General features: G+C 54.4%; 2 protein-coding genes across 5 annotated transcripts in view, besides 3 other annotated features; both read left to right on the top strand.

Annotated features, from left to right (window-relative positions):
- The window catches only part of CORO7-PAM16 (CORO7-PAM16 readthrough), a 76,346-nt gene that overhangs the window by 11,955 nt on the left and 49,988 nt on the right, over positions 1 to 14,403 (top strand). Inside the window, exon 7 of the mRNA NM_001201479.2 lies at positions 9,303 to 9,353. Coding sequence (NP_001188408.1) covers positions 9,303 to 9,353 — 51 coding nt within the window. The remainder of the gene's footprint in view (positions 1 to 9,302; positions 9,354 to 14,403) is intronic.
- Positions 1 to 14,403, top strand: part of CORO7 (coronin 7) — a 62,055-nt gene that overhangs the window by 11,955 nt on the left and 35,697 nt on the right. For all 4 annotated transcript variants that reach the window (NM_001201473.2, NM_001201472.2, NM_024535.5 and 1 more), the window contains one exon: positions 9,303 to 9,353. In NM_001201473.2, the coding sequence (NP_001188402.1) occupies positions 9,303 to 9,353 (51 nt within the window). The remainder of the gene's footprint in view (positions 1 to 9,302; positions 9,354 to 14,403) is intronic.
- Positions 1,901 to 2,637: an enhancer, noted in NCBI's record as "H3K4me1 hESC enhancer chr16:4452006-4452742 (GRCh37/hg19 assembly coordinates)". NCBI's record gives its function as "activates a minimal SCP1, AML or CMV promoter by ChIP-STARR-seq in naive H9 embryonic stem cells {active_cell/tissue: H9 hESC(naive)}" and the evidence as "EXISTENCE:reporter gene assay evidence [ECO:0000049][PMID:30033119]".
- Positions 12,873 to 13,426: an enhancer, noted in NCBI's record as "H3K27ac-H3K4me1 hESC enhancer chr16:4441217-4441770 (GRCh37/hg19 assembly coordinates)". NCBI's record gives its function as "activates a minimal SCP1, AML or CMV promoter by ChIP-STARR-seq in naive H9 embryonic stem cells {active_cell/tissue: H9 hESC(naive)}" and the evidence as "EXISTENCE:reporter gene assay evidence [ECO:0000049][PMID:30033119]".
- Positions 13,427 to 13,978: an enhancer, noted in NCBI's record as "H3K27ac-H3K4me1 hESC enhancer chr16:4440665-4441216 (GRCh37/hg19 assembly coordinates)". NCBI's record gives its function as "activates a minimal SCP1, AML or CMV promoter by ChIP-STARR-seq in naive H9 embryonic stem cells {active_cell/tissue: H9 hESC(naive)}" and the evidence as "EXISTENCE:reporter gene assay evidence [ECO:0000049][PMID:30033119]".

Genomic DNA, 14,403 nt, shown 5'->3' with positions numbered 1-14,403 from the left:
GGGGGCGCTAGAGGAGCACCTGGTGTGAATGTTCTAGGCAGAGCCGCTCCAGGGTGGCTGCAGCCTTGCTGAGCTGCCGGCGGTACCTGGAGGTGTCAGTGGAGTCTGGGCCCAGAGGGGCTCTGAGCAGAATCCGGCTGCAGGTGAAAAGGTCCCGTTTGTTTGATTTGCTGACCACATAGTGCTGCCCCCAGGAGGGGATGAGAAGAGCCTGCAGGGGAGGAGGTGGGAGGAGGAAAGCCAGGACCAGGCTGGAGCCTGAAACCAGGGCCAAAGGGCTTCCCCAGGGAGGCGGCCGTGGGTACCACCAAGGGTCTCTGAAGACCTGTCGGGGTTGCTGGGAATGAGGGCACCCATCAGGGCCCTTCTGGAGGTGTGCCGAGCCTGAAGACACATGAAGAATGGCTGAGAGGCCTGGGAATGGAGCCGAACAGGAGCTAGCAGGGCAGGGAGGCCTACCAGACCTGAGCATTCCGCCCCAGGGCTCTGCATACTTGGAGGGACCCTAGTCTAACTTTCTTTTCTGTACTCTGCTTTTGTGGAAGCCGCATCTCCCAGTCTTGATCAGTTTTTCCTCTGTGGTGTGCGTTGAGCAGAGAGTCCTGAGAGACTGGCCTAAGCTCTGGGGGCCAATAAGGCCCCCAGGGAGCCCCTTCTGGGGAGACCTGGTATGCGTGCTTTGACCTAACCCTGCTGGGGACGGCTTCCCAGGCAGAGTGAGCTCGAGGCCGGTCCTTGAGGGATGAGCCCTGGCTGAGAAGGAGGGGACGGGCGTCCCAGGCAGAGGGGATGGCCTGGGTAGTCTCAGCAGGACTCAGGGATGGCTGCCTTGGGACCGTGACATCTTTCTTTGAGAAACTGTCTCTGCCCCTCTGTCACAGGTGTGGTGGTCCAGGCCCTCCTCCTGGGGGTCCGAGCCCTATTTACTATCACAGTTGTGTAGGGAAGGACAGTGAGCAGCCCCATGGGCCACCGGCTTGGCCACTCTTCTCCTTGCTTACTGGTGTCTTGCAGGAAGAGTCATAGGAGTCACAGACGGAGGAGCTCCTGCTGCTTCCCCAGTGGATGTGTTTTCCCCCGCTAAACCCAGAGCTTAAAGTTGCAGGGACGAGAAGCACACATTTCCTAAGTGGGTCGTGGGAGTGATGCTTAGTGGAACGACTCCCCCTCCTTCCCTGGTTCCTGGACCTAGGAATTCCGCCTGCGGGGACGCAGCATTGCCTCCAAGCCGCACCTGTCAGCACAGTCTAGGGCCAATGGGTACCTCAGCCCTGGGTCGGCTGCCACCTTCTTTTGCTGTAAAGGGAGTACATCGGGGTCCTGGTGGGGGCATCCTACACTGGAAACCCTGGCAGTATGGAGCCGGGAGTGGGGGGCGGCCTGACTGTGGTAGGGCAGCCAGTGATGCCCATGAGTGTGCAGAGAGCGAGGGCTTGTCCTGAGCTGTGGCTGGAGCTGCTGGATGGGCCCACCCCACACCAGGAGCGAGCGTGAGCCCCTCTTTGCAGCCGCACCTGGCTCTGGGTTTATGCACTGGAGCTGCTCATGCCACGGGCTGCCTGATGGGGATGGGGGTGGGGGGTCATGGGACTTTCCACCAGAGTGTGCCCCCACCCCCGCCCCATCTCCTTCCTGGCGGGGAAGCCTCCGTGCCCCTGGCTTCCACTCCTGTCCTGCCTCTGTGTGAGCAGGTCTGCCTCCCAGGACCACCAAAGCCCCCTCCTGCTCCCTCTCAGCTACTCCCACTGGGTGAAGGGGCCTCCCGAGCTGGGAGAGAAGGGGCAGGAGGCCGCTAGGGGGCGCGCTCTCCTCACGGATGGCCCATTCCGGCCTGCTGCGCTCCTGACTCCCGGCATGGTTGAGCCTGATGAGCCGGGGAGGACGCGGCCTCTGCAGCCCAGTTCCTCTCCGCTGAGCCAGAGCAGCCTCAGTGCCCACTCTGAACCCTGGTTTGGACCCCGCGTTAAGCTCCTCCATGAGGGTGGCCCAGCTGCCCTCATGGAGTGTGTGCTGTGAGTTCCGCCCTTAGCCCCAGCGCCCAGCCCTGCCCAGGGGTGGCGCTGTCCGCATCCTCACAGTTCACAGGGCTGGGCGGGTGGCCGGTCGCTGGCTCACGCCTGTCATCCCAGCACTTTGGGAGGACGAGGTGGGAGGATCACTTGAGCCCAGGAGTTCAAGATCAGCCCGGGCAACATGGTGAAACCCCATGTCTACAAAAAAAATGCAAACATTAGACAGGCATGGTGGCACGCGCCTGTGGTCCCAGGCTGAGGCAGGAAGATTGCTTGAGCCCAGGAGTTCGAGGCTGAAGTGAGCTCGGATTGAGCCACTTCACTCCAGCCTGGGCGATGGAGCAAGACCCTCTCTCTTAAAAAACAACAACAACAACAACAACAACAAAACTGGCCGGGTGCAGTGGCTCACGCCTGTAATCCCAGCACTTTGGGAGGCCAAGCAGGCGGATCACCTGAGGTAAGGAGCTCAAGACCAGCCTGGCCAACATAGTGAAACCCCTCCTCTACTAAAAATACAAAAATTAGCCAGGCATGTTGGCATGCACCTGTAATCCCAGCTACTTGGGAGGCTGTGGCAAGAGAATAACTTGAACCTGGGAGGTGGAGGTTGCGGTGAGCCGAGATCACACCATTGCACTCCAGCCTGGGCGACAGAGCAAGACTCTGTCTCAAAACAAACAAACAAACAAACTAAAACCTCAAAAAAAAAAAAAAAGGAAAAAAAGAAACCATAGGGGGCTCGGGGGCTTGCCCACGTCATAGCTGGTCAGTGGTGGTGTTGGCATCTGGACTCGGGCTGTCGGTCTCTGCACCTCTGTGGGGCAGGAGCAGCCCTGACTGCTGGATGTCGTGTCCTGCCCTTCATCTCCTGAGAGCCTCTGTCGCTTGCTGTCGCTCGTGTCCTGCCTGTCTCCTGCTGTCCCCTGTATCTGTCCTTGATCTCTACTTGCTCTCTCTGGCCCGCTCTGTCATTGTGCTCTGTTTCTGTCCCACTCTGTCCTCTCTCATCCCTTGCTGTCCCTCGCTGTTCTCTCTCTGGTCTCTGTCTTCTGTCTCTCATCCTCCTCTCTCTGTCCCTCGCCATCCCTCTGAATCCGAGGTGTGGAGTAGTGGAGTTTTAAGAGCCAGTCCCTGGACTGTACCTGGTGCCCGCCTGGCACGCAGCAGGTGCTTGGTAAACTGCAGCTGGCAGGGCTTTGCCAGGAGCGGCATAAAACCAGGGCCCTGCTGAGGCAGACCAGGGAGACCTGGCTTTTGAGGCCCTCTCCAGACAGGCCCCCGCCTCTGCCAGCCATGCGTGTGCCCACGGCCCCCTTGGTTCCCACCATCTGCCTCCTCACGTGGCCTCTCCTCCCCCAACGCCACACACCAGCAAGTTCCTTTCTCCACCTCTTTGCTCATGCTATTTTACCTTCCTCGAATGCCTTTGCCTTCCCAGCACAAGCTCTGTTTGTCCTTCCATGACCAGGTCTAAGTTCTTCCCCGCGGTTTCCCGTGACAACCTCCAGGCCCCAGAGTCCAGCACTTAGCCTGGAACTTGGTAGTAGCAGGGAGGCTACTCATCTCTCAGGGAGGGGCTGCACATGGAGCGGGAATTCACTTGGTTTTCCCCTGCATTTCTTTTTGGGTTGTTTTAGTTGATGGACTATTTTCGAGAACAGTTTTAAGTTTACAGAAAAAGTGAGCAAGTTGTATAAGGATTTTCCATATTCCTTACCTCCTCCCCCAGTGTCTGTGATGAATATCCTGCGTGAGTGTGGTACGTTGTTTCAATTGAGGAACCAATGGTAAACATTATTATTATTATTATTATTATTATTATTATTATTGCACTGCTGGAGTGCATTGGCACGATCTCAGCTCACTGCAATCTCCGCCTTCTGGGTTCAAGTGATTCTCATGCCTCAGCCTCCTGTGTAGTTAGGACTACAGGCACGTGCCACCACACCCGGCTACTTTTTGTTTTTTTGTTTTTGTTTTTGTTTTTGTTTTTGAGACAGAGTCTCACTCTTGTTGCCCAGGCTGGAGCGCAATGGCACGATCTCAGCTCACCGCAACCTCTGCCTCCCAGATTCAAGTGATTCTCCTGCCTCCCCGTCCCGAGTAGCTGGGATTACAGGCATGTGCCACCACACCCAGCTAATTTTGTATTTTTAGTAGAGACGGGGTTTCTCCATGTTGGTCAGGCTGATCTCGAACTCCTGACATCAGGTGATCCACCCACCTCGGCCTCCCAAAGTGCTGGGATTACAGGTGTGAGCCACCATGCCTGGCCTAATTTTTTTGTATTTTTAGAGATGGGGTTTCACCTTGTTGACCAGGCTGGTCTCAAACTTCTGACCTCAAGTGATCCACCCACCTCAGCCTCCCGAAGTGCTGGGATTATAGGCCTGAGCCACCATACCCAGCCTGATACATTATTATTAACTAAAGCTCACAGTTTACATGAGGGGTCAGTCTGTGTTGTATGTTCTATGGGTTGTGATAAATGCATGACATAATGTAACCACTATACGGAGTAGTTTCACTGCTCTTAACATCCCCTGGGTTCCACCTGTTCATCCCTTCCGCCCTCCTCCCAGATCACTGCCAAGCACTGATCTTTTCATTGTCTGTATGTTGGACTTTTCCAGAATGTCATATAGTTGGAATTATATGGTATGTAGTATGTAGCTTTTCAGATTGGCTTCTTTAACTTAGCAATGTATTTTTGTGGGCTAATAGCTATTTTTTTAAATTGTGGTAAGAAAACACATATCATAAAATTTACCTTCTTCTTTTTTTTTTAGCTTGCTGCAGCCTCAAACTCTAAGGCTCAAGCAGTCCTCCCACCTCAGACTCCTGAGTAGCTGGGACTACTAGCACGTGCCACCACGCCCAGCTACTTTTTAAATTTTCTGTAGCGACAGGGATCTCACTGTGTTGCCTAGGCTGGTCTCAAACTCCTGGGCTCAAATGATCCTCCCGCCTTGACCTCCCAAAGTGCCAAAATTCACCATCTTAACCATTTTTAAGTGTACAGTTCAGTAGTGTTAAGTATATTTACACTGTTGTGAAACAGATTTGAGAATTTTCTCATCTTGCAGAACTGAAACTCTATACCCATTAAACAGCAGTTCCCCTTTGCCCTACCTCCCGGCCCCTAGGAATTGGCATTCCACTTTCTGTGTCTATAATTTTCTGTGTCTATAATTTGACTACTTTAGATGCCCCACATAAGTGGAATCATATACTATTTGCTCTTTTGGGGCTGACTTATTTCTCTGAGCATAATGAAATGCTGCATCGTCAAGGGTTACTCGTGGCGTGCAGTAGGATTTCCTTGCCTTTGAAGACTGCATAGTATGCGCAGACCACATTTTGTTTATCCATTTATCCATCAGTAGATCTTGGGTTGTTTCCACTTCTTGGCTATTGCGAGTAGTGCTGCTATGAACATGGGTGTGCAAATATCTCTTCATGGCCTGCTTTCAGTTCTTTTGGATATGTACCCAGAAGTGGGGTTGCTGGAAGACATGCTAGGTCTATTTTTAATTTTTTGAGGAACTGCCATACTGTTTTCCATAGCAGTTGCACCATTTTACAATCCCATCAACAGTGTGCAAGGGTTCTAACTTCACGTACCCACCAACAGTTGGTTTTGTTTTTTTTTTTTTTTTGAGACGGAGTCTCGCACTGTCACCTGGGCTGGAGTGCAATGGTGCCATCTCAGCTCACTGCAACCCCCGCCTCCTGGGTTCATGCGATTCTCCTGCCTCAGCCTCCCCAGTAGCTGGGAACACAGTCTCACACCACCAAACCCAGCTAATTTTTGTATTTTTAGTAGAGACGGAGTTTCACTATGTTGGCCACACTGGTCTTGAACTCCTGACCTTGTGATCCGCCCGCCTTGGCCTCCCCAAGTGCTGGGATTACAGGTGTGAGCCACCACGCCCAGCCTTGCAATTTTTTTTTTTTTTTTCAGATGGAGTCTTGCTCTGTTGCCCAGGCTGGAGTGCAATGGCATGATCTCGGTTCACTGCAACCTCCACCTCCTGAGTTCAAGCAATTCTCCTTCCTCAGCCTCCCGAGTAGCTGGTATTACAGGTGCACGCCACCACGCCCGGCTAATTTTTGTATTTTTAGTAGAGACGGGGTTTCACCATGTTGGCCAGGCTCGTCTCGAGCTCCTTACCGCAAGTGATTCCCCCCAGCCTTGGCTTCGCAAAGTGCTGGGATTACAGGCGTGAGCCACCGCGCCCGGCCTGATACTTGCTATTTTTAAAAATGTAATAGGCATCCTAATGGGTGTCAGGGGATATCTTACTGTGGTTTGGATTTGTGTTTCTCTAATGGTTAGTGATATTGAACATATTTTCATACGCTTTTTGGCCATTTCTATATATATATTTTTAAAATGTATATTCAAACCAGGCCTGGTGGCTCACACCTGTAATCCCAGCACTTTGGGAGGCTGAGGCAGAAGGATTACTCGAGGCCAGGAGTTCAAAACCAGCCTGCTCAAGATAGTGAGACCTCATCTCTACGAAAGAAATATTAAAACATTAGCAGGGCCTGGTGGCTTGTGCCTGTGGTCCCACATACTTGGGAAGCTGAGGTGGGAGGATTGCTTTAGTCCAGGAGGTTGATTTGCAGTGAGCTGTGATTGCACTGCTGCGCTTGGGCCTGGGCAACAGAGCGAGACTCTGTCTCAAAAACAAACAAACAAAAAAGGCTAGGCACAGTGACTCACACCTGTAATCCCAGCACTTTGGGAGGCCAAGGCAGGCAGATTACCTGAGGTCAGGAATTCGACACCAGCCTGTCCAACATGGCAAAACCCCGACTCTAGTAAAAATACAAAAAATTAGCCTGGCGTGGTGGCGTGCACCTGTAATCCCAGCTACTCGGGAGGCTGAGGCAGGAGAATCGCTTGAACCCGGGAGGCAGAGGTTGCAGTGAGCCGAGATCGCGCCACTGCACTCCAGCCTGGGTGACAAGAATGAAACTCCATCTCAAAAACAAAAACAAATACAAAAAGAGAGAAATGTCCATTGATGGACTTTGCCGTATTGCTCAGGCTGGTCTCAAATTCCGGGGCTCAAGTGATTCTTCCACTTTGGCCTCCCAAAGTGTTGGGATTACAGGCAGGACCCACTGTGCCTGGCCTACGGCAGCTTTTTTGTTTTTTTTTTAGACGGAGTCTCAGTCTGTTTCCCAGGCTGGAGTGTAGTGGCACGATCTCGGTTCACTGCAAGCTCATTGCAACCTCCGTCTCCCAGGTTCAAGTGATTCTCCTGACTCAGCCTCCCGAGTAGCTGGGATTACAGGTGCGTGCCACCATGCCCGGTTAATTTTTGTATTTTTGGTAGAGACGAGGTTTCACCTTATTGGCCAGACTGGTCTCGAACTCCTGACCTCAAGTGATCTGCCGCTTCAGCCTCCCTGAGTGCTGGGATTACCAGCATGAACCACCTCTCCTGGCCATACTTACTATATTTTCAATTTAAGACGGGTTTATTGGGATGTAACTCCATTGTATGTTGAGGAGCATGAGTATTTCAAGTTTTTTTTATCTGTACTGGTGCAAATGATGTTGTTTTTCTTTCTTTCTTTCTTTTTTTTTTTTTTTGAGATTGAGTCTCACTCTGTTGCCCAGGCTGGAGTGCAGTGGTGCAATCTCAGCTCACTGCAACCACTGTCTCCCAGGTTCAAACGATTCTCCTGCCTCCGCCCCCTGAGTAGCTGGGATTACAGGTGCCTGCCACCATGCCCGGCTAATTTTTTTATTTTCAGTAGAAACGGGGTTTCACCATGTTGACCAGACTAGTCTCAAACTCCTGACCTCAGGTGATCCACCCACCTCAGCCTCGCAAAGTGCTGGGATTACAGGCGTGAGCCACCATGCCTGGCTGGTGGTGTTTTTCATTTCAAATTCCAGTTGTTTACTGTTTTTCAAAATATGAAAACAGGAATCTGTGCTGAATGAAACAAAATAGACCTGTGCTAAGACGTAAAAAGGAAAAGTTAACCAGCCCCCATCTTCCCCACCCTTGATACCTAGCATTAGCACACAGGCCTGTGTTAGTCCAGACCTTTCTCCTTGCTCAGCAAACTTGTAAAATGTATGGGCTGTATGATAGTTGGGTATCAATAAAAACAAACAGGATCGTGGTCACACAAATGGAGATTTTTGTTGATTTTTACCACAGTAGAATCACACTATGCCATGTTATTCTACAACTTCCTTTTTGCACTTAATTTATTATGGCCAAACATGGTGGCTTACGCCTGTAATCCCAGCATTTTGGGAGGCCGAGGCGGGCGGATCACCTGAGGTCAGGAGTTTGAGACCGGCCTGCCAACATGGTGAAACCCCGTCTCTACCAAAAATACAAAAATTAGCCAGATGTGGTGGTGGGCGCCTGTAATCCCAGCTACTCGGGAGGCTAAGGCAGGAGAATCGCTTGAACCAGGGAGGCAGAGGTTGCAGTGAGCCAAGATTGCACCATTGCACTCCAGCATGGGTGACAGAGCAAAACTCTGTCTCAAAAAAGAAAAAAAAAATTATTATGGCCCAGCCTGTAGTAGTGGATACAGATTGTGCCCTGGTTCTTTATGCATGAATGTTTGTGTACACACACACACACAACGTGTGCATGCACACACACATTGTTCCACAGAAAGAAGGTCTATACAAAGCATGAGTGCTTTATTTCAGTACATTTTTTTCTGCTTTTTGTCTGTTTCCATCCTCCCTTTGGATAATCTGAATCAATAACTGCCGAATGGATGGTTCGGAAGTGTAAGCTCGTCTTCCTGGTTAGTGCTAAATTCTGTAAGTGCAGAAATGAGGTCGTCATATGAGCCTCTCCAGGCTGGGCCTAGTACAGGGCTGAGCATGTGTGGGGCGCTGACAGCCTAGAGTTTGGTTCTGGACCTCCGTTTGTCTGTCTGTGAGGGATCATGGTGATAGTACCACTTCATAGGGTAGTTGGAAGAGTAGGAGGGGTCGAGTGTCTGGGATGCCTGACGTGGAGCAGGTCTCAGGAAGCTGAACACTCCTCACTGAGTAGGTCTCAGGCAGCTGAACACTCCTCACAGAAACCTGGGGGACTGGGTGGTGGTTGCTGCTGTGCTGAGGAGGAGGAACAGGGCTGAGGAGGGATGCCCTGGTGTGTGATGGCAGCCCTGCGTGCTGGGGATGGGCTGCTCAGAGCTGGGGGTTGGGAGGTGAGGGGAGCAGGCTGGCTTCCAGGGACCCTCCAGCCCTAATCGCAAGTTGTTTCCTCCTCTCTGCTTTTCCAGGACAAGCAGCTGCGGATCTTTGACCCCAGAACAAAGCCGCGGGCCTCTCAGGTGAGTTGTGTGGGCAAGCTGGGGTGGGTTGAAGCCTCCACTGAGGCTGAGGACCCAGTGGTTCTAGCAGGTGGAGGTAGGGGCAGGCCTGGGGTCCTGGCAGACATGTTCTGCAGCACCAGGGGTCCCCAGGAGGTGGACCACCACTGCTGGGAGCTCTTCCTGTGAAGTGTGTTGTGGGTCCTGGGAGGGCCTGGCTTTGATCACCGGGTGGCAGAAGCTAAGCTTCCCCCAGGCTCTCCACGGAGGCCATCGTGTGGCTTCAGGCAGCGATCTGGGATTCCCACTTCCTTCCTTTGAGACCTTCACCCTGGCACGGTCAGCAGAGACCAGCTGCAGAGGAGCCAAAAAGAAACAACCCCTGTCCTCTGCAGGAAGACCCTGGGTGGGACCTGTCAAAACGTACAGGGTCCAGGGACTGAGCGTGTTCTGGTTTGTGTCTGTGCATGGAGTGTGCGTGGCCATTTCAGTTCCAAGCGGGGAAGCTGGGACCTGGCTCATGCTGCAGGCATCCAGCCACTGGGACACCGTTCATTTGCCCTACAGAGACCTTGTAGGCAGGAGCAACAACCCTGGGACAGGGCCCTGTGTCTGGCTCCGTAAACATTGCCTGTGCTAGGCAGGTAGTTGCTGGGGGCTTCTCTTGCTGGGCTGGTTTAGTGCTTCCCTGAGTAACTGGCCCGGGAGCAGAGGCCTGAGTAATGCCAAGGGGGCAGACATAGATGGCCTGAAGGAGGACGGGCTTGTCTGAGGGGTCTGCGCGAGGGGCGCTGGGGGATACGGGCCCATGGTTACCTGGGCTGTGGGAAGCCATTAGAGAGTTTTTTTTTTTTTTTTTTTGAGACGGAGTCTCGCTCTGTCGCCCAGGCTGGAGTGTAGCGTTGTGATCTCGGCTCACTGCAAGTTCCGCCTCCTGGGTTCACACCATTCTCTCACCTCAGCCTCCCGAGTAGCTGGGACTACAGGCGACCGCCACCACGCCCGGCTATTTTTGTTTTTGTATTTTTAGTAGAGACTGGGTTTCACCATGTTAGCCAGGATGGTCTCGATCTCCTGACCTCGTGATCCTCCCGCCTTGGCCTCCTAAAGTGCTGGGATTACAGGCCTGAGCCACCGTGTCCGGCCACCATTAGGGAGTTTTAAGCAGGAAGTGCGATGAGTAGATTTACATTTCTTTTTTTGGGTGGGGAGATGGAGTCTTGCTCTTTCACCCAGGCTGGAGGGCAGTGGCGCAATCTCGGCTCGCTGGAAACTCCGCCTCCTAGGCTCAAGTGATTTTACTGCCTCAGCCTCCTGTGTAGCTGGAACTACAGGTGCCCGCCACCATGCCCGGCTAATTTTTTTGTATTTTTAGTGGAGACGGGGTTTCACCATGTTGGTCAGGCTGGTCTCGAACTCCTGACCTTGTGATCCACCCTCCTCGGCCTGCCAAAGTGCTGGGATTACAGACGTGAGCTACCGCTCCTGGCCATGGATTTACATTTCTAAAAAGAACTTTCTAGAAGCTGAGGAGGCTTATTCCCTGAGGAAGGTGAAGTTTAGGGTCCTACTGTTAGCTCAGGAGAGGAGCTCCCCAGCAAAGACCTAGGCCCATCATAGATACCCCCTCCCCATTTCTAGGACGTTTTCCCCACCCGGGGTCAAGGGCAAACCACCAGCCCAAACCAAACTAGTGGTAGCCCGGAGCCCCAGAGCCCCCTACACACACAAGACTCAGGAGAGAAACCCAGTCACATGGAAGATTGCAGCTTTTTAGTCCAAACGGTACAGTCAGTTCCACTTTTGTCCAGCTGAAGACCGAGAGGACTCCCATTTAAGCAGTGAAACTAGCCAGGCAGGGTGGTTTTGGCCACACCCTGGTCGTACTTGCTGGTGAGGCTGGCTGACCTCTTCGTCATGTGGGACCTGGGCCTGGTAGATGGTGGCTGTCTGCATCTCAAGGCAGTGTGGGTGTGTACGGTATCCTCACTAGGTAGCTTTCTTTGACCTCCAAGCCTTTGCCCAGAAAGCGGGGCCCAGGCTCAGCTTGAAGGTGCCACAGAGGCTTCCCCCGGCCCCCTTCACTTTCTCAGGTTGCACTCTCCTCTCCAGAGCCCAGGGCACTGCTGGGGCACCTATGCTTCTGCCCCCGACCTACCGGGCATGGCTCTGAGCCAGCTCACTGGGCCCACGTGATTCTTCCTATTCTCCCCTCCTCCGCCCCCTCTTTCCAGCCTTCCTCCTCCTCTCCCCTCCTCTTCCAGCAGGGCTGGGGCGGTGACTGATGCCGAGGTGGGGATAGAGTGGCTGCTATCCAAGGGGCTCCCAGCTCCTCGAAGAGAGAGGGAGAGGATCTGGTTCTGGAGGGAGCCCCCCTGCGGGGCTTTGGGGCGAGGAGACCTGGGAAGAGCGTGGGTGGCTCCCACCCCTTCCAGCTGCTGGCTGGGGCCTGTGCTCGGGCCCTGGTGCGGGGGCAGCAGGCCTGGAATGCCGCTCTCCGTGTGGCCCTGCCCCCCACTTCCGCCCAGGGCATCTGGCCCACACCTGGCTTCTATTAGGAAAACCGCTGCTGGCAGCCAGGGCCGGTGTGAGCCGAGGGGCCGGCTCGAGGGAGAGGCCTTCTGGGAGCTCCTTCTCTGGCAATCCTCCTTCCTGCCTAGTGGGGTGTGGCTGGGGGTCAGGGAGCGGGGCCGCCTGCCCTCCATCCAACCTCTGTCCTCTGTGGGTCCCACCCCACCTGAGCCCTGGTGCTATCCCGGAGCCCAGAGTGGGCCAGGGAGTCCGCCCTCCACTGTCTTGTTGGAGCCCTGCCTCAGGCGTGAGCTTTGAGCAGGGGACCCTGGGGAGGCTCCTCCTCACACCCATGCTTGGTTCTTATACTGCATGTATGACCCTTTGTTATGCGCCAGGCACTTGGCATATTCCACTTCCTCGGAGGTGCAGACCCCGAGAGTCGGATGGTTCTGTGGCTTCTCCATGGTCCCACCTCAGGGTGACAGAGGCAGGCTCGCCCCTCTGGATGCAGAACCCCCAGGACCCCCACTGCCGCCCCTTCCCTTTACAACCGGCCCAGCTGGGGCTGGGTGAGGCCCTGGAGCCCAGGCTGTTCTGGGAAAGTGGCAGCCCCAAATGAGTGTCGAGGCCTCAGAACCCTTGTCTGGGCGGGAGGGGGCCCCGGATTGAGCCCTCTAGGAATCTCAGTGCATCAGACAGGCCAGTGGGGGGTGGTGAACCTCAGAGGAGGGAAGGGGGTAAGTGGGGGGTCTTACTATTGAAGCAGGTCCCCTCACCCCAGCAAGGAGCCAGGGCTGCTCCTGGAACCATCCTGCCCTGCACAGGAAGTGTCGCCATGGTGATGAAGGGGCGGGCACGCGCCTCCCCTCCTGCACCCCCTGCGGGGCTGACACTGCTCCTGCCCTGCCACAGCCCCTCCTATTCTCAGAGCTAGGTGGTGGGGGCCCTCTTGGGGCTGCAGGGTAGCAGGATGCCTGGGTCCCAGCTGCAGCCCCTGTTCTTGCCCCCTATGCAGGAGAATGAGGAGCTGGGGAGACGGCTCTTCTCTGAGGCTTGCTGAGGCTGGCAAACGGGTCTCGCTCTGTCGCCCAGGCGGGAGTGCAGTGGCGCCAACACGGCTCACTGTAGCTTTGACCTCCTGGGCTCAAGCAATCCTCCTGCGTCAGCCTCCCTGGTAGCTGGGACTACAGGCACGCACCACCACGTCAAGCTAGTTGGGTTGTTTGTTTGTTTGTTTTTTGAGATAGAGTCTTGCTCTGTCACCCAGGCTGGAGCACAGGGGCACAGTCTCGGCTCACTGCGAGCTCCACCTCCCAGGTTCAAGCGATTCTCCCGCCTCAGCCTCCCGAGTAGCTGGGATTACAGGCGCCTGCCACCATGCCCAGCTAATTTTTGTATTTTTGGTAGAGATGGGGTTTCACCATGTTGGCCAGGCTGGTCTTGAACTCCTGACCTCAGGTGATCCACCCGCCTCGGCCTCCCAAAATGCCAAGATTACAGGTGTGAGCCACTGTGCCGGCCTAGTGTTTGTTTTTTTAAGAGAGAAGTTTTCAGTTTGTGGCCCAGGCTGCTCTGGAACTCCTGGGCTCAAGCCGTCCTCCCACCACAGCCTCCCAAAGTGTTGGGATTACGGCAGGTACCATTGCGCCCAGCCCACCTCTCATTTTTGATACTGGTGATCACTCCATTGATGAGGAGTTACAGGGTAAGGGGTGGGCCACTGACCCCCTCCCTCACCTGGGGGCTTCCTGTGGTCTCTGGGCAAACTGAGCTGGGTGTACCCACATTGGGGAGTGGCTGGGCACGGACAAAGCTCTTACCTGGACCTCTGAAGGCTGGGCTGAATGCTCCAGGGAGCAAGAGCTGGCCCAGGATGTTTGCTGGAAGCAGAGCGTTTCTGGGGCAGCTGTGGTCCTGGGCGGCTCCTCCTCCCTTCCCTGCTGCCTCCTAGCTGCGACTTTGTGCAAGCCTCATCACCACTCTGAGCCTCACGTCCATCTTGTGCAGGTGGAGGAGACAGCTGGGGCCAAGCCACTTTGCACCATGGCTTCGTCTCTCTGTGCCTTTAGGCTTCCCACATGTGAATTAGGAAGGTGGGAGCTACAGGCCAAGGGCGTCCCACCCCTAGCCTTAGCCTGTGCCCCTAGGTGAAAAGTGCTCAGTGGCAGCCCCTGGGGGACCCTGCAGGCTTGGCCCAGCCTCCGCCTCCCTCGTCCCCACCTGCTGGCTGAGCGGGTCTCTCTGCTTCCAGTTTCCAACTCTTTGCAGATGCCAGTTCCCATACCTGGCTCACGCCTATCAACCCTCCCAGCCTAGCAGGAATGACGCTAGGTCTTCCCTCACTTACAGTCTGGCGGTACCCTGCTATCAGCTGTGAGACATGCACACTTGACACGTGTCAGACACAATCCTGAGCCTTCTACAAGTGTTCCCTCTTACTCCTTGTGGCCGTCTTCAAAAGTAGGTCCTTCAGCACCATAGGAAAGGTTAAAAAAAAAAAGTAAATTCTGTTACAGTGCTTTTTACAGACATGGAAACTGAGGCACAGAGCTAGTGA

This window comes from Homo sapiens, chromosome 16, assembly GCF_000001405.40.
Source record: "Homo sapiens chromosome 16, GRCh38.p14 Primary Assembly".
NCBI lineage: Eukaryota > Metazoa > Chordata > Mammalia > Primates > Hominidae > Homo > Homo sapiens.
The sequence above is the reverse complement of the archived record's forward strand: the minus strand, read 5'-3'. Positions and strand labels throughout refer to the sequence as shown.